The 24,845-nt window shown below is 48.2% G+C and overlaps 1 protein-coding gene across 16 annotated transcripts in view, besides 3 other annotated features; it reads left to right on the top strand.

The window, feature by feature from the left end:
• The window catches only part of REEP1 (receptor accessory protein 1), a 124,091-nt gene extending 99,401 nt beyond the window's left edge, over nucleotides 1-24,690 (top strand). For 6 of the 16 annotated variants that reach the window (NM_001164730.2, NM_001164731.2, NM_001164732.2 and 3 more), the window contains 2 exons: nucleotides 5,881-6,058; nucleotides 21,573-24,690. In NM_001164730.2, the coding sequence (NP_001158202.1) occupies nucleotides 5,881-6,058; nucleotides 21,573-21,583 (189 nt within the window). In that variant the 3' untranslated portion in view covers nucleotides 21,584-24,690. Of the gene's footprint in view, nucleotides 1-5,880; nucleotides 6,059-11,284; nucleotides 11,321-18,561; nucleotides 18,714-21,572 lie in introns of all 16 variants that reach the window. The other 10 variants (NM_001371279.1, XM_011533045.2, XM_005264504.2 and 7 more) reach the window with 4 other exon arrangements.
• Nucleotides 2,923-3,217: a silencer, noted in NCBI's record as "tiled region #10790; HepG2 Repressive DNase matched - State 8:EnhW". NCBI's record gives its function as "represses a minimal TATA promoter and a strong SV40 promoter by Sharpr-MPRA in HepG2 cells {active_cell/tissue: HepG2}" and the evidence as "EXISTENCE:reporter gene assay evidence [ECO:0000049][PMID:27701403]".
• Nucleotides 7,313-7,971: an enhancer, noted in NCBI's record as "H3K27ac-H3K4me1 hESC enhancer chr2:86457835-86458493 (GRCh37/hg19 assembly coordinates)". NCBI's record gives its function as "activates a minimal SCP1, AML or CMV promoter by ChIP-STARR-seq in primed H9 embryonic stem cells {active_cell/tissue: H9 hESC(primed)}" and the evidence as "EXISTENCE:reporter gene assay evidence [ECO:0000049][PMID:30033119]".
• Nucleotides 20,223-20,517: an enhancer, noted in NCBI's record as "tiled region #10968; HepG2 Activating DNase matched - State 8:EnhW". NCBI's record gives its function as "activates a minimal TATA promoter and a strong SV40 promoter by Sharpr-MPRA in HepG2 cells {active_cell/tissue: HepG2}" and the evidence as "EXISTENCE:reporter gene assay evidence [ECO:0000049][PMID:27701403]".

Here is a 24,845-nt window from a genome sequence, read left to right as displayed (position 1 = left end):
ACACTTCTTATACGCTCCTTGCAGACACATCTCAAGGCTTGTTCAGCAGGATCCTCTTTCAGGTCTGGGACCCTGGCTGATGCATCAGGCTGAGGTGGGGATTTCCCACTGTCACGCTTCACCCAGGCGGCAGCTCCATAAATGGTCATACGTTCATTCATGCAACTCCTTAACCCCAAATATGTATCAAGTAGAGTGGCAGATGCCAAGGCTGCAATAGTGAATAAAACAGACAATAGCAATATTTAAATATCATTGTGTGGAGTACAAGAGAGAAGTACAGCTCAAAGGCTGTAGTGACAGCATTTACAGGGAACTGGGATGAGTAGAGAAAGCTGCTCTGAGAAGTGCAACCATATTTCATTGAATCTAAAAAGCTGTGGTTTCTGAGACACATCATTATCTTATGTTCCACTAAGAAAGATAATATTGCCAATTAAATTAGGACACAATGTTTTTTCACTTAGAATGTTTATTTATTTATTTATTATTACTATTTTTGAGACAGAGTTTTGCTCTTGTTGTCCAGGCTGGAGTGCAATGGCACGATCTCGGCTCACCTCAACCTCTGCCTCCCGGGTTCAAGCGATTCTCCTGCCTCAGCCTCCAGAGTAGCTGGGATTATAGGCATGCACCACCATGCCTGGCTAATTTTGTATTTTTAGTAGAGATGGAGTTTCTCCATGTTGGACAGGCTGGTCTCAAACTCCCGACCTCAGGTGATCCACTCACCTTGGCCTTCCAAAGTGCTGGGATTACAGGCATGAGCCACTGCGCCCAGCCAGAATGTTTATTTCTTCTTATCAAAAAGACTCTTAGACATCTTTTTTTTGTCACTTTTATAAATACATTAAAAGGAACACAGCTGGGCACGGTGGCTCACACCTGTTCCAGCACTTTGGGAGACCAAGGTGGGTGGATCACCTGAGGTCAGGAGTTCGAGACCAGCCTGACCAATAAGGTGAAACCCCGTCTCTACTAAAAATACAAAAATTAGCCGGGCGTGGTGGTGGCCACCTGTGATCCCAGCTACTCAGGAGTCTGAGACAGAAGAATCTTTTGAACCTGGGAGGCAGAGGTTGCAGTGAGCCAAGATTGTGCCATTGCACTCCAGCCTGGCTGACAAGAGTGAAACTCCATCTCAAACAAACAACAACAACAACAGAAAAAACAAAAAGAGAGAAAGAAAATAAAAAGGAACGCATTAGCACAATAAGTGGTTAAGATCTCTCTAACCTCACTTTTTCACTTTCAGAGTCTCCCGAATCACTTTTCAGCTCGGCGTGTCAGTATCCACTTATGACCATGCCATATCATTCTCTGTTCCTTCTAGTGTGTTGGGTGATGTCGAGCTGTTGTTTCTGGGATTTTCATTCATGCCAGTTTTGATGCTGCCACTTTCTTGATCATACCAGAAAGTGTCAGTGAGATATGTGTTAGACAACTGAGATTCATATTCCTTTCTCAAACAGTTCTTAAATGGTTTGTTAATTAAACACTCAGGGGCTTCAGTTGTCCAGTTATGCCAGGGAGAATAACAACCAAGTATATCTATGTGTAGGCGTTGACAATGATGTCAGGGCGGCAGCAATTGTAAGACCCACCCCAATTTCAGAGATGAAAAATACGTCTTAAAATTGATGAAAATCTGCTGGGCGCGGTGGCTCACGCCTGTAATCCCAGCACTTTGGGAGGCCAAGGCGGGCGGATTACGAGGTCAGGAGATCGAGACCATCCTGGCTAACACGGTGAAACCCCGTCTCTACTAAAAATACAAAAAATTAGCCAGGCGTGGTGGCGGGCACCTGTTGTCCCAGCTACTCTGGAGGTTGAGGCAAGAGAATGCGTGAACGCGGGAGGCGGAGTTGCAGTGAGCCGAGATTGCACCACTGCACTCCAGCCTGGGCGACAGAGTGAGACTCCATCTCGAAAAAAAAAAAAAAATTGATGAAAATCATTTTCAAGAAGTCTAGGAGTAGGTGGGTGTTGTCATTATTATTCTGGTGACTTAGCGATGTCTTTTTAAATTTTAAAAATAGAAACGGGATCTACCTATGTTGCCCGGGCTGGTCTTGAACTCCTGGGCTCCAGAAATCCTCCCCCCTCATCCTCCAAAGTGCTGGGATTGCAGGCATGCACCACCAGATGGGCCTTCTCAGAGCTTTTAGTATGATAATGTGGCTCATGGAATTATGGGGAATATGGTATTAATGCTTTCCAAATTTAGAGAATCCAAATTTATTTCCCCAAAGTAGGGAAACCAATTTTGCAGAATACCAATGAACAACTCGTGGTTCTTCCCAGAAGACAATGGTCTAGAATAACAAAGATTCTGCAGAGCGGAGCTGAACAGACAGTGTGGAATGGGGTTTGTGGAAAGTGAATAGGAATGAGATTTTGTGTAGAGACTGAGAAGGGCTGAAAGGTTTACAAAAGAGAGAGGCATGTTGATTTTTTTTTTTTTTGAGATGAAGTTTTTGCTCTTGTTGCCCAGGCTGGAGTGCAATGGCATGATCTTGGCTCACTGCAACCTCCACCTCCCGGGTTCAAAAGATTCTCCTGCCTCAGCCTCCCAAGTAGCTGAGATTACAGGCGTGCACCACCACGCCTGGCTAATTTTATATTTTTAGTAGAGATGGGGTTTCACCATGTTGGTCAGCCTGGTCTCAAACTCCTGACCTCAAGTGATCCACCTGCCTCGGCCTCCCAAAGTGCTGGGATTACAGGCGTGAACCACCGCGCCCGGTCAGGCATACTGATTTTAACCATCTCAGAGTGTTTTGATGGGCAAGGGCTAATTTGTTTTCAGGAGTCTTGTATCTATGCCACTATAATTTCCTCTGACACAGGCCTAGGTTGATACTGAGCTATTATTATCTCCCTCTCTTTCCTAACCTCTGCCACTGCCAGTGTGATATTGGAGCTAGACTGGCTGGCTTCTGGGAGTTGAATGGAGCACTTTGCTAAAATGAACGTGTACGATGCCTGCTGTTGCTTTCTCTCACATATGTTGCTGAGCGACAATGAGCAAGAACTGGCAAACTGTGTTGAGGGAATTCGTCCCTGGCCGTTTATTTGGGCTTGGGGTCATGAAGCTTAGGAAGTGACCTTTTCCACCTCTGCTTTCAATAGCAACCTTTGTGTCTTAGGCAGCTTTCAATAGCTTTCAATAGCAACCTTTGTATCTTAGGCAGTAGCCACAGCATCAACATCATTATCATCATAGTTGACATTTTTGAAGACTAAATATGCAATGGGCTATGTGATGGGTATCTTAAGGATGTAATCTCATTGAATCCGCACGAGCAGCCGGCCATTTGGATCCTCTTCTGCAAATGAAGGTCTTGAGGTGGAGAGAGGTTAAGATCACTCAGCTGTTGAATGACAGGGCTGGAATTTGAATCAAGGCCTGACTCAAGAACTGCTGTTCTCAATCTTCACTTTCTGTAGCTTCTGCTAGGATACTTCTGTGTTGTATCTGTACATTTGTCGTTCTCCGCTTTCTCAGAAATCAAACTGTATTTTTGGTGTTTCATGTTAGCACCTAGCACCATGTTCTTGCCCATAAAAAGTACTTGGTAATTGTTGAACAAGTAAAGTAAACGAAGAAATGAGAGGATGAATGAAAGAGTGAGTCAGTGAACAGTTTGCTTGAACACTAACCTAACATTGAGTTACTCACTTATAATTAGCAGAATATTTTCTCACTCATTTCAGAATCAAGTTTTGTTCCTTAGTCATCAAATTTCTTCTAAATTCTAGATGCTGCCTAGAATGTTTCTGCGTAAAATAATCATGGATCATTGGCTGCTATATTTGAAGGGGTTATATAATGGGTGTCTGGCTGGTCCAGCCTCCATTTTGCTGGCAGAGACCACCCAGCTGTTCCTGCCAAGGACGTGAGACCTTGGACCCTTGCCCAACCATCACTCTAGAGCAGTGTCTGAGGCAACCAGGGTGATTTCTGTCTTTTTTCATATAATATCCTCCAAATACTTCTTGGCCTGGACTTACAATTCTTTTTAAATAGTTTTCTTTGTGTTATTGTTGTTGGTTTCCTGGTGACATGGTTTTTATATCTTTGGTAGGTTGGGAACAGATCTAGTTCATATTTTAGTGCATCTTGCTTTTAGTCTGGCACTTCTTTCTTTCTTTTTATTTTTTTGAGACAGGGCCTCACTCTGTTGCCCAGACTAGAGTGCAGTGGTATGATCCCGGCTCACTGCAGGCTCTACCTCTTGGGCTCAGGCGGTCCTCCCACCTCAGTGTCCCGAGTAGCCGGAACTACAGACATATACCACCATGCCCAGCTAGTTTTTAAAATTTTTTGTAGATACAGGGTCTCGCTTGTTGCCCAGGCTGGTCTCGAACTCCTGGACTCAAGCAATCCTCCTGCCTCAGCCTCCCAAAGTACTGGGATTACAGGCATGAGCCACCACGCCTGCCCTCTTCTGGCGTTTCTTCTAAACCTGACTGCAAGCCCCTTTTTTTCCCCCTCCCCTCTAATGAACTCATTTTGCGTCTGCTCCTTGATCCTATCTGGATTTTTCACTTCAGCGAATTGCTGTGCTTTGTTGGTTCATTTTCATTATTTTTTATATTAAGTAAAATGAAAAAAATCTTCCAAACCCTTCTCTCACCCCTGAAAACCTCTTACTCAACTGTTTTGGCCCTTGCTTATTTCATCAATCCCACCAGCAGCCCTCTTGTCAGCGGCTTGAATTGATTTTGTGCTGATTTGTTGGTTCTGTTATGTCTGTTGTGCAGTATTGTCCCCCTGTCCCCCAGATCTCTGGGACCACTCTTTCCTTCATTATCCAAGTGGCATAGAAAACCTCTCCCATGCCACTGCAGTGCCATGCACCCGAGGGAACCCTGCACACCCTCCAGGCTTTCTTCTTTCTGAAGATGTCTGAGTTCATTCATTTGCCTGGTAGTTACTTGCCTGTCACTTCTTGCTCCAAATCCTAGCCGATTCTCAATTTCCCCAGTCTCCTCCCACTCTCAGGTTTCCATAACCTCTCTCTGCAGCCCCTGAGGCACACTTAAAGCAATGCCACCATCCCTGAGCCTTCACTGTGATCATTTTCACTCTGACACATTCTCTCATCCAGACAGTGAGGAGCTGCTCTTTCGTAAGTAAAATGGATTGATCTTGCTTTCTAAATAAAAGAACAATTCCCCCCGAGATTAATTCTCTGTCTCCCTCAGAATATGAAATGGTTACAATCAGCAGGGTTTTTTTAAATCATTTTTTTCCTTTCTGATTCATTACCTTTTGGGTATTTTATGAAGCTGAAATGCACCAGCAGAAGTAAATGTGCCTCGTAGACAGTAATATGCTATACAAATAAAAGAAATTTCTGTTGTCAAACATTTAGAAAAATATTGTCTGTATTTTGTGTCCTTTGAAAATAATAAGAACCAAGCACATAGAATATTAGGTTTTGATTGCCTGACCAGATTCTCATGTACTGAGAAAAATGGAGATACATGTGGATTTTTATTTATGCAAAGCAAGAGAAGCAGCAGGTGGCCTGGAAGGAGTAGGAGCTGCAGGCAGTAGTCACGCCCTTGGCCCTGGGTCTGTCTGAGGCTCCGGATCATCATCGTATCATCGTATCATCATAGTGGTGTCTGAGGGTAGGGAGGGATCCTGGAGCCAAAGGAGCAATTACTGAGCCCCAGAGGAGGCCCTGGAAAATTCCGGGATTTGACCCTCTCTGTGTTTCCAGCAGCTATGTCTGGGCACCTGCGCCTCAGAGTTGATCCAGGTCTTGATTTCCACCTGGCTGACCATCAGAGCTCCCTCTTGGCCTTTGTCGAGTGTGACCTGTGGAGCAGGACCTCTGACGTGTGCCCCTCCTGTGTTGTATCCAGGGACAGGGTGCCTTATCGGAGAGACTGCGGAGCTTCAGCATGCAGGACCTCACCACCATCAGGGGAGACGGCGCCCCTGCTCCCTCGGGCCCCCCACCACCGGGGTCTGGGCGGGCCAGCGGCAAACACGGCCAGCCTAAGATGTCCAGGAGTGCTTCTGAGAGCGCTAGCAGCTCAGGTAGGTGTCACTTTACTTCCCCTCTTTCCCACTCCTTGGGCCTCGCTTTCATTGAGAGAGGCCCAGTCCGCAGTGTGGCATGCAGCCTGGCCCTGGCCCCACGGACCTGCCACCAACGGGGTGTCCATCAGATCATGCCAGGTCAGCCAAGGGGCGGAGCACCCCTCAGGCCCGGCCAGGAAACCAGCCTGGTGACTGATCAGGGACAGGGCTAGGTCACCTGCACCAAAGGGTCCCCTTTCCTCCATATGATTGTCTGGGGAATTGGGGGTAGTTGGGGGCTAGTGTCTAGGCAAAGCCTGGAGGCAGCAGGCACAACTGGACCTGGGCCCCGGGAGCCTTCTGTGTTGTCTTCTCAGACTCCGGGGAGGCATACCTGTTGATACCTAAGTGTTGTCTTCTCACCCGGGGCTTACTGCTCTCACGGGCCCTCTTCCCTGCCTGAATATTGCCTGTCCTCTCTCTCACTCTGCTGTCTCCTTCTCATCTCTGACCTCTCATGTACCTCACACCACCCCCAGCCTCTGCATACCAAGGGCCATGCTAGCTCTGAGTTCTTGTTCCTGTGGTGACCAGGACCTTACAGTAACCACACCTCTGCCTCCAATGTCTGACTCTGGTGTCACACGCCCATCGTGGGATTGCTGGTATTGGGACTGACCTGGGGACCTCGTTAAACATGCAAAGTCCTGGGCCCATCCGCAGAGGCTTCAGTAGGTCTGGGGTGAGACCCAGAAGTGTGATTTTCATTGAGATGCAGCCGTGTTTGGGACCCCCCGACATCGGATCCACCAGCACGGGTTTCAGGCTCATGGAGGGTGGGGGCACACAGTTTCCCAGGCTGCTCCTTGGGAGGATGCCAGGGGCCTTGGGTCTCAGGGGCTGAGCACAGCAGCTGCCCAGGACTGATGGTGGGGGGGTGGGGGACGGTTCTGGATCACCACTTCTGCCTCGCTGTGGTGAGAAGGGTGGGAATCTATGTCCACAATGTCTGTCTGGTGACTGCGTGGCCCTTAAATCTATAAACAGAGATGTCTGGCCACCTGTGACTATGCAGCCTGCAGGGGACACCTTGGCCATAAGCCCCATGTCCTGACAGACCCCATCTGATGCCCGGGGGTCTTAGCCATCAACAGGAAGGCATGAGGCCTGCGGCTGCCTGGGAATGGCAACTCATGCTCAGAGCCAAGTGCAGCTCAGGGCTCCGTCCATTTCCTCCCTCTCAGCAGTGTCCCCTTGGCCCTTCGCAGGTCTTAAGACTGTGGCTTTTCTGTTGGGAGATGTTTTAACCCTGTCACTGCTGGAAGCAGGGCAGGGTTGGGGAGGTGGAGGCTCGGCTGTGGGGGTGATGGCCACCTCAGGGAGGGGTTACCCCCCGAGGGACCCCCCCCCAGGAATGGAATCCCAAAAGGCCAGACAGGAAATGACCTCAGGGATCTTTCAGTCAAACCCAGTGATTTTACTGGTGAAGAGACAGAGGTCCAGAGAAGGGGACTGTGCAGGGTCACCCATGCTGGGCTGCAGTAGAGCGTGGCCTTCTGACTCCGGGGCCAGTGCCCATGGTCACTCACTCATCAACCATCCAGGCTTTGTCAAGCATCTACAGCTTCTGATCTGCCGGACACTGCCCCAGAAATAGGGATACAAAACAGAGTTAAGTCTCATCTCCACACTGCATCAGCTCATCATCTACCAAGCCTCAGATGAAAGCTGCCCCTTAGATGGAAAAGGGGCCTCAATTCAGTAAAACCCAGAGGGCAGAGAGCAAGAACCAGTGGGGTGAAGTTCGAAGGGGGTAGCCACTTGCTCGCCGCATGACCCGGGCGAGCTATTTACCATCTCTGCACCCTAGATTTCTTATCTACACAAGGAATGACACCCCTTTGTAGAGTTGTTGTGAGGCTTCAAATGAAACCAGCCATGTGAAAGTGCTTATGGCCATGCCTGGCGCCAGTGCATAGTAGCTGTTATCATTGTTCTTTTTGTAATTTGTCTCTCCTGAGAAGGCGCATTGTCATGCTGCAAGTGTCCAGGAGCAAAATGGGCCATCTTGGGAGGTAGTGAGGTCCCTGACATTGGAAGGACACAAGCCAAAGCTGGATGGTCAGGTTCGAGGGAGGGATTCCTGCTTTGGCTAGGAAGCGGGCTTAGGTGGCCCTGGCGTCCCTTTGCCTCTAAGAGTCTGTGTTGCCATTTTAGAGGTGAGCCCAGTGGAGGAAGCAGGCTCAGAGAGGTTGTGCACTGGGCTGAGGCCCCCAGGCCCAGAATCCAGGCCTCCTGCCTAGACCTCCCCTGGTGAATTATTCAGGGCAGCCTCAGAACTGGGAATGCAAGAAGCTGGCAGGGTCTGCAGGGAGATGGCAGTGTCTTCTGGGCCTGGAGTATCTTCCCAGCCCAGCATCAGGTAGAAAAGCATTTGGGATGATTTGCTTTGGCACTGGCTCTGCCACTCTCCATGAGCAGAGGTGATGACGTCCCCTGCCATGCCCCAGGGAGGCAGTGGGGAGTGTTCTGGCTGTCCCAGGCTGAGAGGACCAGCTGTGCTGCATTATGCCCCAGCCCTCCTCACTGCTGGCCCCCTTGGCCTCCGCACCTATGACCACAGGGGGCAAAGAGGAAAGGTGCAACCCAGCAGGGAGGCCAAGGACAGTGTAGTGCTCTTTCCAGCTGTTCTGGAGCCTAAAATAAAAGCCATCTCAAAAAGGAAGACAGGAGCTGGGTGTAGTGGTTCACGCCTGTAATCCCAGCACTTTGGGAGGCTGAGGAGGGTGGATCACCAGAGGTCGGGAGTTCAAGACCAGCCTGACCAACATGGAGAAACCCCGTCTCTACTAAAAACACAAAATTAGCCAGGCGTGGTGGTGCATGCCTGTAATCCCAGCTACTCATGGAGTAGCTGAGGCAGGAGAATCGCTTGAATCGGGGAGGCGGAGGTTGCAGTGAGATGAGATTGCACCATTGCACTCCAGTCTGGGCAACAAGAGTGAAACTCCATCTTTAAAAAAAAAAAAAAAAAAAAAAAAAAAGGAAGACAGGTGAAAGATGGCCTGGGGCGTGGATATGGGGCAGAATTTCCTGGGTCAGAGGCTCTTGGGCTATCATACCCTGAAGTAAGGTCAACATGCCTAGGAGGAAGTCTGGCAGAGGAAGCCAATTTATACCGGGCTGGTGTACTCTCCCCAGCTCAGCCCCCAGTGTGGGCCTCAGATGCCAGGCCAGATCAGGTAGCAGAAAGGGCCCCAGAAAAGGGGAAGAGGCTAGACTTCATCCTGGCTGGGTGATGCCGGGCCTGTGCAGACACAGCAAATGCAGCACAGCAAGGCATGCTCCTTCCTCCTGAGCCTCAATTCAGCCTCAGAACTTCTCTCAGAACAACCCAGGCAGTCGCTACCATAGATTTGGCCTTGGCACAGAGGACAGACCTGATTCCCTCAGGCTTTCTTCTTTGTAAAAAAGACCGAATAGTCCCTATTCAGCCTATGTCTTAGGGTTGTGAGGAGAGCAAACCAGAGAATTTGCAAACCCTGGACAGGTGGCAGGGGTTGAAGACAACCTGGAGAGAGGTGGGAGCTGCACCTCGTGGAATTCTCTGCAGCTGCTGGAAGCAACAGATTAAGGGTGCACACAGTGGAACTTGAAAGCATGATGCCAGGTGAAGAAAAGTGCAAAACAGAATGAGATTTTATCTAACAATTTATGTAAAAAATATATGCCTATCATGCAAAGTAACAATACGGAGTTTATATGAAGAACATGTTCAAACAAAAAGTTGCACATTAAAATATTAAAAGTGACACTCCTTGAGGAGGAAGGAGAATGTGAGTGGGGTGTGGGAATAAAAGTCATGTAAAGGCACATAAAAAGGGTTGCCAGGCGCGGTGACTCACGCCTGTAATCCCAGCACTTTGGGAGGCCAAGGCGGGTGGATCACCTGAGGTAGAGAGTTTGAGACCAGCCTGACCAACACAGAGAAACCCTGTCTCTACTAAAAATACAAAATTAGCTGGGCGTGAAGGCGGGTGCCTGTAATCCCAGCTACTCGGGAGGCTGAGGCTGGAGAATTGCTTGAACCCGGGAGGCAGAGGTTGCGGTGAGCTGAGATCATGCCATTGCACTCCAGCCTGGGCAACAAGAGTGAAACTCTGTCTCATTAAAAAAAAAAAAAAAAGTGAAGGGGATCCCATGAACCAGTGTGGACCATTTGCTGTGAGCCAAGAAGGGACATCCATGTGACCTCCTGCATCTTGAGAAAAGGGAGGAAGATGCACACAAACGAGGAAGGGAGGAAGGGGCACAAAGACTGTCCCTGCACGGTCACTCAGCGCTGCAAGCTCCTGGCAGGCAGACAAGGGTTCTGTGCTTCCCTCTGTAAATGCCTACCCAACATACTCACCACATGCCTGGCACACAGAGACCTCTGTATGTGCAGTGAGGACACAGGGTCTAGGCGTTGGAGAAGGGGAAGGAGAGTTCTTTCCTGTTGCTTTCAGCACCCAGGATGGGGCTGGGCAGTGTACTTGGCCTGACCCTCTCTCTTGCCTGGAGTTTTCCTCTTTGCTTAAAGGGTCAGGGCAGGCAGGGACTGACATGGCCCTCCCTGCAGAATGAGCTGGAAGGTGTGTAGTCAGATACCATATGCTGAATGCCTAGCACTGGACACCAGGAAGTGTACAAGAAATGTTGAAAGAATGATCCTGGCCTTCCATGGACTTGGAGTCACTCAGTGAGCATGTATTTAGTGAGCACCTACTCTATTGCCAAGGCCCAGATGTGCACCAAGACCAATGGCGTGTACAAGGCAGCAGCCAGTTAGGCCTTTGCAAATGCCCAGATGCGAAGCACTTTGGGGTTCAGAGGTAAGTCTGGGGAGGTTTCCTGGAGGACATTCTGAACTGGAAAGCAAAGAGAGGAGGAGGCTTTGGGCAGGGGTGCTTGGAGTTATTTTCCAGAGGGAACTTTGACTCTGTCTCCGGCCTTCCCTAGGGCTGCAGGGTGCAAGGACTGACTTTGTGTGCCAGGTGAGGGTATCTTCTGCACCTGAGCAGAAACTGAATCTGAGATGACTCTTTCCCCACTTTGGTGTCTCTACAGAGACCCACCTTCCTGGGATCCCTATATTGTACACACTGGGATCCCCACACCTCTCCAGGGCCTCCCTGTTTGCCCGGGGCTGGTTCCTGTCCAGTGGGGGATGTCACTGATGGTGCCCCTACCCCATTCCCACAGTGTGTACCTGCTGCTCCACCTGCAGGACCTGGAAAGGTGAGTAAGCAGCCAGCCTCTCCGCAGCGTGCTGGACTCTCACTCGGAAAGAGCTTCTAACCAGGAGTGGGCACCTGACCCTGGGGCTCCCTTTCAGCTGCATGGTCATAGGGAGGGGTCAGGAGGTTAACCCTTTATAACAGCAAACACAGTAGCTTACAGTTCCTGTGGGCTAGAAATCTGGGAGCAGCTTAACTGGGTGGTTCTAGCTCAGGGTCTCTCAAGAGGCTGCAGTCAAGATGTCAGCCTGGGCTGAGTTATCGGAGGGCTTGACGAAACTGGAGGGTCCACTTTCAAGATGGCACTCTTATGGCTGTTGGCTGGGCCTCTCCAAGGCTGCTTAAGAGTCCTTACAACGTGGCAGGTGGCCTGGCCTAGAGTGAGCCATTCAAGAGATAGAGGGCAGGCAGGAAGCCAGGGTACCTTTTCTGTCCTAGGTTTTGAAGTCACACTCATCACTTCTGCCTTATTCTATTTGTTGGAAGCAAGTCATTAAGCACAGCCCACATTCAAGGGGAGGAGAATTAATCTCCACCTCTTGAAGGGAGGAGTATCAAAGAATGTGTGGAGATATCTTAAAACCACCACAGGGTCACTGGGCGGGGTGGCTCATGCCTGTAATCCCAGAACTTTGGGAGGCAGAAGTGGGAGGATTTCTTGAGCCCAGGAGTTCGAGACCAACCTGGGCAATATAGCAAGAATTAATCTCTACAATTAAAAAAAAAAAAAAGCCAGGTGTGCTGGTGTGCACCTGTAGTCCCAACTACTTGAGAGGCTGAGGCAGGAGAATTGCTTGAGCCTGGGAAATCAAGGTTGCAGTGAGCCATGATCGTGCCATTGCACTCAAGCTGGGTGACAGAGCAAGACCCTGTCTCAAAAAAAAAAAAAAAAAAAGAAAAGAAAAAGCCACAACAGGGTCATACTTCCTTGTGCTCCAGGTAAGGACACAGGAACTTCAGAGGACTAAGGTCCTCTGAAATGATGAAGTCCTGAAGTTCCAGGGGTTTCTGGTCCTGGGGCAGCCAAGGGAGCCCTGTTCCTGCTTTGCCACTTACTTGCTGTGCAACTTTGCGTGAATCACCTAACCGCTGTGAGCTTCAGTTCCTCCTCTTAAAACGGAGATGAGATCCCTGCTTCCCGGCCTCACTGTGCTGTTGTGAAAGTGGCTGTGAAAGGGCCATAATAATCCTGGGAAGGATGATGAGGATGATGATGATGATGATGGTGGTGGTGGTGGTGGTGATGATGGTGGTGGTGGTGGTGGTGGTGGTGGTGGTGGTGGTGGTGATAGCCTGGAGCATCCAGGAGACCCCAGGGAGAGTGGAGGTCTCCCGGTTCTGGACAGAGACTCCTGTTGCTGCCCTCCCAGCGTGTGAGTGATGGCTTGTTGGAGCCACAGCCACCTGGTGGTTGCCATGACCTGCTTCTCCAGTTGCCTAACCTTAAGTAGACACATTAGGGACTAGTGAGGGTCCTGGACTAATCCAGTGCCCCTTTCACACTGCCTGGCTCCCCATAGAGAAGCTGCCTTAGGCTTGGAAGGCAAGAGGGGCCGTGCCTGGCCTGCAGCCTGCTGGCTGGTGTCAGGGGAGGAAGGAAGGCACGCAAGGTGCCTAATATAGCTTTTGCTCCAGCCCTGGTGCCGCGGAGGCATGACATGCCCCTCCCACATCGGCAGTGAGCAAGACAGGAAACTGCATTATGTGACGTGTCCTGTTTTCCCTGCATTGCTTTATTTTTAAGGCTCTCAGTGCTCAGCTTTTTAAGTCCTTTATAGAAGAGCTGGGGATTAGGACAGGCGCAGTGGCTCACACCTGTAATCCCAGCACTTTGGGAGACCGAGGCAGGCAGATCACTTGAGGTCGGGAGTTCGAGACCAGCCTGACGAACATGGAGAAACCCCATCTCTACTAAAAATATAAAATTAGCCGGGTGAGGTGGCACATGCCTGTAATCCCAGCTACTCGAGAGGCTGAGGCAGGACAATCGCTTGAATCCGGGAGGCAGAGGTTGCGGTGAGCCGATATCATGCCATTGCACTCCAGCCTGGGCAACAAGAGTGAAACTCCATCTAAAAAAACAAAAAAGCTGGGGATTCTGGAGGCCATAAGGCCAAACTGAACTGACAGAGGAGTCTGAGCAGGGCTGCAGATGGAGAGAAGCGTCCCAGCCCAGCTCTGACTAACCCTGTGTCCCTGTGGGGCCTCCTGGTCCAAGTTGGAAATGAAGGGGCTGCGTTCAGCTGTTTCCAGCACCGGGCACTAGACGCTGGCCTGGTGGACACACTAGTTCATGGGAAATGACCCTGTGGTGCCAGTGGCTCCAGGCAATTGCAGGGATTTCTGTCTATTCACACTGTAGTTTTGAGTCTGCAAATTCTGTGAGCCATTCCAAAAGCCTCTAATTCTGGGAGATTGGCACTTGGGGGTCGGGGAGAGTGGCTGCCCTGTCCTCCATTCTTCCCCTGACACTGCTCTGTGCTGCTCTCAGAAGCCCTTCCCTGCCATGACATCTGGTGGTTTCATGATCAGACACAGTGTTTCCAGTGCATTTCAATAGAGCTGTGGTTGATTGTAGGAACTGAATAGTTCTGGAAGGCTGCATGTGCATAAGAGTGTGTCCAGGATTCAGTGTCCAAGTTCTGGTTCCTTATCCCCGAGCAGGTTGGTTGCTGCTGGGATGGGGGTTGCTGGACAGCGGGAAGCAGGTGAGGCCTGGTGGTGGCCTCAAGACCTGGAAGCCGTTGTCCTAGCCCTTCCTTTCTTGGACCTCCGCCTCTCCAAGGGCCTCTTAATACCTGTGCCCTGGCTCTCAGGTCTGCATGCAAGGAACCCTTTGATGATTGGCCTACACCATTCCCTCTGAGGCCTTGGGAAAGCCCCTGCACTCTGCAGGCCTCAGTCTCCCCCTCCATGAGGTGTCCCTTGGTCCTCCCAGCTCTGACAGTCTCTACTGGATTGTGCAGTGGTGGCAGATGGTGTTGGGGGAGGTCTGTCTTGCACCTGGGGCTATAGGCTGACTCTTAAGCAGTAAGAGGATTTCACAGTTGTCGGGGACACTTTCCTCCTGGTCCCCTGAAATGTTGTCACAAGGGGTGCTCACTCAGGCCAAAGCCTGGGAAGATTCAAATTACCTCTGGGGCCATGCAGAGCCCCAGGATCCCTCAGCAGACAGGAACATTTTCTAGGAGTTGTAAATTCAGGTCTTAATTCATGATGGGGGTAGGGAAAGGAGGCATTTCGGAGGCTGCTAAGTGCCTTTTAGGGCAGTGACAGAGCTTAGAGGCCCCAGGGGCAGCAGCCTCTATTCTAAGCTGCACATCTCAGATGCCAGAACATTCTTTTCCCATCTTTGCTCTGTTCCTGCCCCATTTGTCAACTGATTCCCTATTGTTTTCTGCATGTCTTTGTCTCTCTTTTTCTGTGTGTCTATTATTATCTCTCTCTCTCTTTTTTTTTTTCTCTGCCTACCTCTATGTCATATAGAACTGAACTCTGGATTACTGCCTGTGTGGTTAGTCATAGAGGTGTCCCTCCCCCCCTTTTAAAATCAAGCATGTAGGACATAATTTTTAAAAGCAGTCATCCTTTTTGTCCTCTCAGAGAGAGAGAGAGAGAGAGAGAGAGAATTGCATTTTGAGTGTGGCCTCTGGGCAGTGTCCTTCTGATTATAGCAGGAGGAGCTGCCTGAGGTTTAGAGCATGGGAAGTGAGTGAGCATGTGTGTGTCTACATGTGTGTATGTGAGTGTGTCTGTGTGTGAGTGTGTGTGGATGGGGATGTGTGCATGGTGCACACGTGTGAGTTTTAGTGCCAAAGACCCTTCTCTAACGGAATGTTCTTTTCTCTCTCCTCGGTGCTGTTGGGGACGTGGATGTAAGTGTTCCAGACAGGCGTGCTCTTCTGCAGACATTTGCTGCCTTCCATTAATGCTCCCGCTAATGTGTGCTGTGTGGGATGTTTTTGCTAACCTGGGGGAGGTTCTGCTGCACTGCAGGGGTGCGGCAGCCCTGGGCCCACTGCAGGCTACACAGGCCTTTAAAGGGCTGAGAGGCTCTGCCAGTTTCTCCCTCCCTCCCTTCCCCACAGAGAGAAGAGGTGGAGCCTGCAGCCCTGGCTGCTGTAGCCCTGCTGACACATTTGCTAATACAGAAACATCAGCCAAGGCCACACACCCATTCCCCTGCTGTGGAAGACGGCAGAAACCCTGCCCTTTCCTAGAAGCAACCCAGCTTTGGGCATCATAGTGGCAGCTCTGCAGGCTCAAGGCCGTGGCCACCATCACCTGAGGTTTGCAAGTTGTTATGGCCATGACCTTGGGCGGGAGACCCTCCTCCCACACACATTGTCTCTGGGAGCCAATTAGAGTACTAAGATGTGGATAGCAATACTCTTTCAGGCCTGTTGCCAGGGGTAAGGACCTGTTGGGTCACCAATCTTTAGATCTTCAGGGACAAGAACATGGAGGAGGCAGAGCATGGGATTTTCTACCCAGCTACTCACTCTCCTGCTCCTCCTGGTGCCCCTCTTTTGGGACTATGTTCTGTGGGGTTCATTTCTCCATTTATACTCCTTCCTGATATAAAAAGGAGTTAGGTCTACTTGTGGAAATATATCTAAAGTAGCAAATCAAAGTAAGAAAATTGAAGCATGGGGAGAAGGGAGTGGGCAAGTAAGATGGAATCAGTGGGGAGAAGGACATTTTAAATGCATACCATCAAGGTGTAGACTGTTGAGACACCTGGCTTCCTTGAAACCACTGCAAAGAGGGAAATACAATTATTAAGAGATTCAGTCCACTGTGCAACAGCCAGCTAGAGGCGTGGAAGCTTGTCTTATTTAGAATGTTTATTCTCACTGGTTCTGAGAGTAAGGCAAATATTATAGACAACACTCTTGGCAGAAATGCTCAGCGGACACAGTGACTAGGAGATGTCTTATCTTCTTAGGAGGTTCTCTCTGTAGCTTCTTCCTGAGGCTATTCTGGCTCCCTCACTGCCCACACTGGCCTCTTTTGCTCCCAGCCTCTGCTGAGCTGAGCACTTGTTTCTATTCCTGCTTGGATATCTGGGTTGTCCTTGAACCATCACTCCTACTGGGCTGGAGGGTCATTTCTTTTCTACCCTGCAATCCTTGCAGTGGAGAACATGCACAAAGCCATTTTGGTTTCAGTCCTGAGATTATAGTGATGATGGTGATTTTGGTAAGTGTGAGTTCATTGCTCAGCCTCAGTGAATCCAGACTGGATAACTAGCCTGGGTTGTTAGATGCCTGAGGATCTCACGGTGACTTTGGGCCACCTTCTGACACCCACAACCATCAGTACAGGGAAAGCCCTGGACCTGGATGTGGAGGGTACAGCATATGCAGAGGCACAGTCTCGAACCGGTACCCACCCCACTTCCATGTCATGGAGTTGGCTGCTGGGGTGGAGCTGGCCAGGCTGCTTCTGCAGTTTTTGCCTTGGTCTGAGGGCTTTTGGTCTTTTTTCCCTCCTGCCAGGCAGGAGGTATCTGTGTCCAGAAGGAATTTCCTGGTTTGGTTAATGGGGGTGTCAAGCTCTGACTTGGGACTAGAGCTGAGCTCTCTGAGATGACTTCAGGATTCTATTTAGTTTAGTTGATGAGTGGCCACTGTGTGCCCAGCCCTGGGTCAGGTGCTCAGAGAGACTGAGGGAGGATCAGCCATGGCCCCCCAGTCTCAGGATGCCTTCTGTTGGCTGAGGCAATGAGACTGACATGAGGACCAGGGCACCCAACACAAGCTGTGTGGCACAGCCTCCAAGCACTGTCGGGTCTCAGAGTGGGGAGGCCAGGGAGGGTCAGAGTATTCAGCGAGGGCTCCCTGGAGTCACTGGTCTTTGTGCTCAACAGGATGCAGCTGATTAGGACAGAGGAAGGGAGCAGAGGACAAACTAAGCCCAGAGTAAATAAGCTGAGGGAAGTGCAGAGTAGAAATAAAATAATAATAGTAATTTAAAAATCAAAGGAACATCAGTGATCTCAGGACTTTACTTACTAAGGCCCAGTCTGAACCAATCACACCCCAGCCTAAAATTCAGCTTTGCATGTTGTGCTGCTTCCTGCTGGCTGTTGGGGAGCACAGCAGTGGTAACTGGTAAAGCTGCCCAAGATTAGGGTTCAGTTGTCTGTTTTTTTACTCCACGCCTGGTGGTGGTATAGTCTAGCAAGTCCACTGTTGATGGAGAGAGAGCACATTCGGTGGCTGAATATGTTCTTAGGAGCAGGGTGTCTCAAGAAGAGCTGTGGTTTCTATCTGGAGGCCTCACGGTGATTGGACCAGATGACTTGAGAACCCCTTAGTCTTGCATTCTGTGATTCTAGGTAAAAACAATAGATGCAGCATAGAAAAATGTGTGTGTGTGATACCAGATAAGCTGGGTAGGGGCAGAAGATATTTTACATCTCAACTAAGAACCGCCTAGCAGATGACATGGAATATGTATTAGCATTTAACATTTAAAAAATACTGTGCGTTCAATGAGATGAATTAATTCTGAAGCTTTTCCCGCAGATGTATTCAAGGCAGACTGAAACAGGAATCTTGCTATCATTTTTTTTGGCAGAGGCATCTGTCAGATTCTCCTTCCTTAGGTTTCTCTGCTTCTCTAGGACTGGGCCTTCGCAAAAAAAAAAACAAACAAAAAAACTATATAGCTTTGTTTAAGGTTATCACTTAAGGCCTCCTGGCATTTTATATCCTGTCTCTTACAGGATGCTTGGAATTGAATATGCAAGTATAATATACAATGTCAACATGGCTTGTATGTACAACATAGAAACTGCTCTCCCACCCCACCCCACATCACTGCTGCCATCCTCTCTAGAGGAGATTCTTTCCCTGAGCATTCACCTGGTGTGGGATCACAGGACTGAGCTGCAGGGATTGATGTGTCTCAGTTAAAGCCGCTTCTTTCTTCACCCAGGGAAGTGATGCCCCCTTAGTAAATCTACTGAATTACTCAGAATTCAGTAGATTCTGAGTCTGTGGTTGTTTCTGTGCACAGTGCCTGGAGATTCACACAACTGCACTTTCACAATCCCAGATCCCCTGTAAGGAGGCCCCCAAAACATCAGTGCTTCCTCAGACCGAGGGGCCTCAGCTGTCCTCACAGGCCTGGTTTGCTGTGCTGTGTGCCTAACCTTGCCCTTCCCTGCTCCCTGCACTGATGCTTCCTTGCTATACCTTGTCTCATCTGTGTAGATTGTAAATGGACATTAAGTGGTTGAGGGAGATGTGAATGAGGGTGGTATGAAGGCATGGGAGCCCCACCAGGTCCAAAACCCATTGGCGTTTTCTGACGACGAGGAGGAAGACCTGCTGGATTTCATGTACAAGTATAAAGCACCTCGAAGGATGGAATTGCCCCTGGAGGTACACAGTGTCTGGGGCTGTGGGTTGGAGTGTGTTTGTCCAAAGGCTATGCCCTGGAGATTGGGGGTCCTGGGAGCAGCATCTCTTGGGGCACCAACATCTCCTCAATACCTGGGGTGGAAAGATCTCCTTCCATCAAACAAGCAGAACCAGTCACTGGATAGCATCCAGCTACTTGCCAAGGAGAGGAAATCCTATTAATTTCATTTAGAAATAGGAGCGTGAGCCGGGTGCAGTGGCTTATGCCTGTAATCCCAGCACTTTGGGAGGCCGAGGCAGGTGGATCACCTGAGGTCAGGAGTTCGAGACCAGCCTGGCCAACATGGCAAAACCCCTTATCTACTGAAAATACAAAAATTAGCCGGGTGTAGTGGCGCGCACCTGTAGTCCCAGCTGCTTGGGAAACTGAGGCAGGAGACTCGCTTGAACCCAGGAGGAGGAGGTTGCAGTGAGACTGCACTGCTGCACTCCAGCCGGGATGACACAGCGAGACTCCTTCTCAAAAAAAAAAAAAAAAAGAAAAGAAAAACAAATAGGAGAGTGGTAAAGTATCTAGGTCTTTATTGTTTTGTTTTGGTTTTTCCAGGTATTAACAACTACCACTCTAAGTTGACGTACAAGTGAAAAACAACCCAAATTGACTGTTTTGGGGGAAGAAAACTCAGAATGTGTTATTTGAAAAGTTTTTATAAATAAGAACAAGGCTTGTTCATCGCTGTATCTCCAAGACACAGCATATAGTGCCTGGTATAAAGTAGCTATTCATGAAATGTTAGTGAAGGGGTATAGCCCTTTAGGGTTACCAAAACCAATACCCTTGACATATATGCTATTTTCAGTTGTAGGATGTGGATGGAGTTCTGGCAGCAGGAGGGCTGAGCCTGGAGCCTCCTGGGCCTTGCTCTGTGATGTGGGTAGGGAGTCACCAGTCATGAGCACAGGTGCAGGGACCCCAGTCTTTCTCTCTGCTTCCTAAGGTCTCCTCTCCTATTCCCCATCTGCTGAGTATCACGGCCTGAGAGGCCATCTGAAGCAAATAGGAAGTCTCCGTACAGACCCTTGTGAGACTTATATGGGGAGATGCCTTGAAATGTTCCCTTCTGCAGACACTGAGCAGCCTAGCATTCTTATTTGTTAGGACTGTAATTATGACCACCTCCATGTGCAGTTCATCAGGTTCCTTTGCAAGGTGAGGCACACATGCATCCCTTTTAAAGTTAGAGGGTTTGGGAAAGGATGTTCTGGGCTTGGACACTGCTGGAGGAGTCTGGCCTGGGCAATCTGGCCTGGGCAGCCTCCTGATGGGGAGAGGAGCCCAGCCTAAAGAATTCTAAGGCCCAAGGGTTTGTGCTGTTTTGCTTTTGTTTATTAAAGCTGCACAAACTGCTTTACTGTTTACAGTTCACCAGCCTGCCAAGAGGCAGATTACTATAAAGGTGGGTTCCGTTGTTTCCGTTTTCAGTGTCTGTCCAGAGGTGGCTGGTAAGCATTTCCTAGTGGTAAGGCTGTAGCATGAGGACTCTATGAGAGGGCCTGAGTCTTGTTTTCTGGCTCATTCACTTCCTGCCTTGTATGTGCCTGCCCAGCACTGAGCCACTTACCAGGAAATGGTGGTGAATGCGACATGGGCCTGCCCTCAGGAAGTCCCCAGTCTGGTGGGGAGAGAGTGAGCAGGGCCCCCACACACTCCCTTCCCACTGGGTGCAAAGTCCTCTGCTGGGGGACATGTACAAAACATGAGAGAACAAAGGAGGTGACGATGCCTGGTTGTGCATGGCTGGGCAGTGGCAGGAGGGGCTCCGGGAAACCTTTGCAGAAGTGACTTTTGAGCTGGGTCCTCAAGAGGCCTAGAAATATGCAAGACAGAGGAGGGAGGGAAGGGCTTCCAGTCAGAAGGAATAGAGGCATGAATGGGCACAGTGTAGAGAAAGAAGTTCTCTGTGTATACAGAGAAGTGGACAGACACGGGGGCCAAGGGTAGGTTGGGGCCAGTTGTGTGAACCCCCTCAAGTGCTGTGCCAGAAAATGTTCCCTTCACTTTCATTGAAATAGGAACTCCTCCTGTGATCTGTGTATCCCATGGAAGGAGGGGTCTCTTGAGAGTCATTTGTGGGAGAGATGAGGTGGAGCCCTTCATATAAGTTGAGCATCCCTAATCGAAAAATCTGAAATTCTTTGAGTGTGGACAAGACGCACAAAGGTCATGCTCATAGGAGCATTTTGAATCTCAGATTTTCAGATTGGGGTGCTCAATTGGAATGTATATGCAAACATCCCAAAATCTGAAAAAAAAAAAAAAAAAATCTGAAATCCCAAACACTTCTGACTCCAGGCATTTCCGGATAAGGGATATTCAACCTGTACTTCAAGGTGGTGTTTGCCTTTGTGGTGTGGTGTGCTGTACATTAAGAGGTTTCTCATCCAGAAAGGGGACTGGAAATTTGATGATGGAAATTTGAGGCATGTACCAAAACACATTAGGCTGGTTCCCAAAGGAAATAACAAAAGCAAAGGAAGCATGCGGAGGTGTCTCTTTCTGCTGAATCATTTAAGATAATTTTGCTCCTCAGGCAGAAACAAGAAAGATGTGTCATTCTGCACAACCGTTCCCTTGGGAGATTGAGGAGCATAATTTAAGAGGGAGGCATCAGCCTCTCAAAGGGCTCAGCTTCATGCGATATGTGGGATGGGACTCTGATGATTGCTTCCTGTTGCGGAGATTCAGGGAGACCCCAGCCCTAGCCAGCTGCATTTGGCCAAAGGAGCTGGAAGTCTCAACACAATGCCTTCCAGGTGCTGACCTCAAAAGATCCCACATTTACACCAAACTGAGGGACACCTTTCTGTTTTCTCTACCAGGCACCGCCTAGAATCCTTCGATCTCGCTTCAGGAAGAAAAGTACCTCATCCTCGGCCACCGAAACCACGTGAGTGAGATGAGCCAACAGCACCGGATCCACAGAATGTTTCTTCTCTGCCTTAAAGAGCTATTCACTAATAACATAGAAATCCGCAAGCTGGGTGTGCTTTGAGTGTGCAGCCTCACAAACATGGCCTTTTCTCTCTCCCCTTCCACTTTTAAGGATTTATTTTTTTCCCCCTTTTCTTTATTTTGCTGGGGAGAGGCTAAAGGGAAAGGTAGTAGGGGCGGGGGTGGTGACCTTTAAGTCTTCTGAGGTTGGTAATTTTCCACAATTGGATTGTCATTATAGACAGCAGTGTGTTTTTTAGAAAGATAAGAGAATCACCCCTATGCTGCTGAGATGTACATTTGTAATTTATCTGTTGCATACTTAGTTTTTAGTCCTGTAAATGCAAACACAGCATTTTTTACAACTTTCTTTGTTCTTGGTACTTATACTTTGAACTATGATGTACATATTTATGGCTTTTGGCTTTTAATATAATGGACTTGCAAGGGCTGCCAGAGGTTCTGATATGTAAGAAAACTGCAAAAACAAATATAGACAAATATTTTGATTCTAGAGAACGTCTCAGATGTGCTTATAAAGCTTCCAAATACAACTCCAGTAAGACATCCCTTTCCCTGCAGGAGTGTGGTCTATATTCTTTAGATAGTTGTTTAGTCAAAAGACCAGACAAGTTACAAACTAAGAGAAACAATATTTCACAACACAGTAAAGTGTGATGAGAGGTCAGGGGAACATCCCAGTAAAAGAGAAGAGTCACAGGAAGCTCATCTCCTCCCTGGATTCTGGATTAGGAGCTTCTGAATCTTTTCCAGGGATAGGCAGGTAGCTCACTCTTGGTGCAATTTCTTGAGGATGGGAACATGTAGAGCTGCTGGAAGGAGTAATTCTGTGCTTGACAAAGGACGATTTCTCCTTTATCGTGACCAGTGCTGCCGATTTCCTGACAGAGGAGCTTACACTCTGAGCACCTTGTTTTAGCGAACTCTAGCAAAACTTGTTTAGCTTAGCAAAAACAAACACACAAAAAACTGAGAACTCTGCTGTTTCAGATATGCCATAACATACATCTGAAACACATGTGTAACAATCAAAATGGTGGGCTCTAGAATGGTTTTGGAGCTCGAGATCTTCATGGGTTAGACTTGCTGGTCAGACCCAGGAGCACCTGTGGCTCACACCTTCTGTTCCCCTCCTGGCCTGTGCAGAATGTAAACAGCAGACTCATACTCAATGGGCACTACAGGCCTTATCAGACGTTTTATACAAGCCTGGATTGCTTAGTAGGGGAATAAGGCATTCTCTGAGGGGGCTTTCCACTTAGATTGAGAATTTTATTTGAAAAGAATCTGGTTTAAATGGCATTGTGGTCCGAGGTAGCTGCTCTCCCCACTGAGAGCTGAGCCGAAATATAAGAATAATATATTTGTGCTTCGAGTTGGTGTTTCTTTCAGTGTAATGCATGCAGTGGTCACAACCCAGTTACTCATAATATTTGGATTGTATTTGTTCGTAGATATGCCCAGAAGACTAGAGAATTAGTGTTATATACCATATAGAACTTACTGTCAGTCAACTATAAACAGGCCCAATTAAAAACTGTTCCATTACTACGCAAACACATATTAGAGGCCTTTGCTGATGACACATTAGCTGGATCTTAGCCACCCCAGAAAGGGTTTGATTTGAAGCTGATTGTTGCCAGATATGCATATTGGAATCCCATCTACCCATAGTTCCTCTGAAGGTGATTTTGTAATTTGCAAAAGGGTATAGGAAAATATACCTAAAAGCGAATTTGTGGCTGAGAGGATAAACAGAAGCTGTTTGCTCATGTTCTGTGCCCCACACCCACCAATACCTAAATCTGTTAAGGAAGACAGAAAATGTTTTCTTTGTGCTCATTGAGTAGTTCCAGACAGAAGAAGAATATACTCTTTAAAATGTATTTACCTGTTAGTTGGAAGTACCCAGAATTATCAGAAACGAATGCAAAAAAAAAAAAAAAAAAAAAAAGCTTACACAGCTTCTTAGCAATTTTTTTTTTTTTGCCGAAACAATAAATTGCCTTTAGCAGCAGTTTAAAATCCTATCGTGAACAACCTATATTTTCGCCATTTTACAATGGAGAGTTGTGACAAGTACAGGTTATCAAGTTTGCACTTAACTATGCCAAAAAAAGTTTGAAGCGCTCTATTCTCAGACATGCTGTATTATTACTTCTCATTCAAGATTGAAAAATATAAAGGTATCCAAACTCTGTCTTAATGTAAATGTAACTATTTTTCCTTCAAGTGTTGACTAGGGAGTCGGTTTCTCTCTTAAAGACACTCACTGTACAACTGAAAGCAGCTGTCATATTTCTGGCAAAATGTGTTTACGTATCTGACAAGTTGTACATTTGTGTATGAACTGACATAAAATGTGAAAGCCTGTAAGTGTACATGTAGTGGTGTGGTGTTCTGTCTAGAGGATACAACTGAATGTTTTTAATTTGCTGACTTACAGACACAGGCTGTTTACAAAATGCTAGCTGGAAAGTCTGTAATGTTCATGTCATAACTTTTAGTTAATTGCCATTGAGCACCTGTTCTGAGGAGGTGAGATGTGGACTTGTGCTTATAAACTGGAGAGTTTAGTCATAATCCCTCCTGGCTTTGTGTGAATAGCTTGCTCACTTTGCTGGCCTTTGAAATGTGTTCTCCGTGATAAGCTATCCATGTGTTTGTGATAAGAGTGCTTGTCAACCATGACCATCTTTGAGCCTTCCTAGTCCTCCACCTGGCACAGTATTTGAAATGGCAAAGGATGTGCTTCATCCTCTAACAGTGTACACTCCCAGAGCTGATATTCTGGATTTTGACTGTGCACATTTCCTCTAGTTCATGTCTGTAGTCCCTATAGAATGATCTGTAATAAAATAGTATACTGGACTGTGCATCAAAGGGATGTAAAATTACAGTATTCCAAAGGTTGAAGTTCTGCTGTTTTGTTATAATGCCTGATACACATCTTGAATAAAGTCTTAACATTTTTCTTTTAAAAAACATCTTTGTAATGTTGGGCTTAAAAGGAAACAGGAAATACTTTTTTTCAAATATGGGAGGTAGCAAGGATTAGAAGCTGAGTGTTCAGCCACCGACTGGCCTGGTGACTTGGCCCCGTGCCTGTTGCATAGGATGTTGAGAGGGAAAGAAAACCA

Source organism: Homo sapiens, chromosome 2 (genome assembly GCF_000001405.40).
Source record: "Homo sapiens chromosome 2, GRCh38.p14 Primary Assembly".
Taxonomy (NCBI): domain Eukaryota; kingdom Metazoa; phylum Chordata; class Mammalia; order Primates; family Hominidae; genus Homo; species Homo sapiens.
This window is presented reverse-complemented; position numbering and strand designations above follow the sequence as displayed.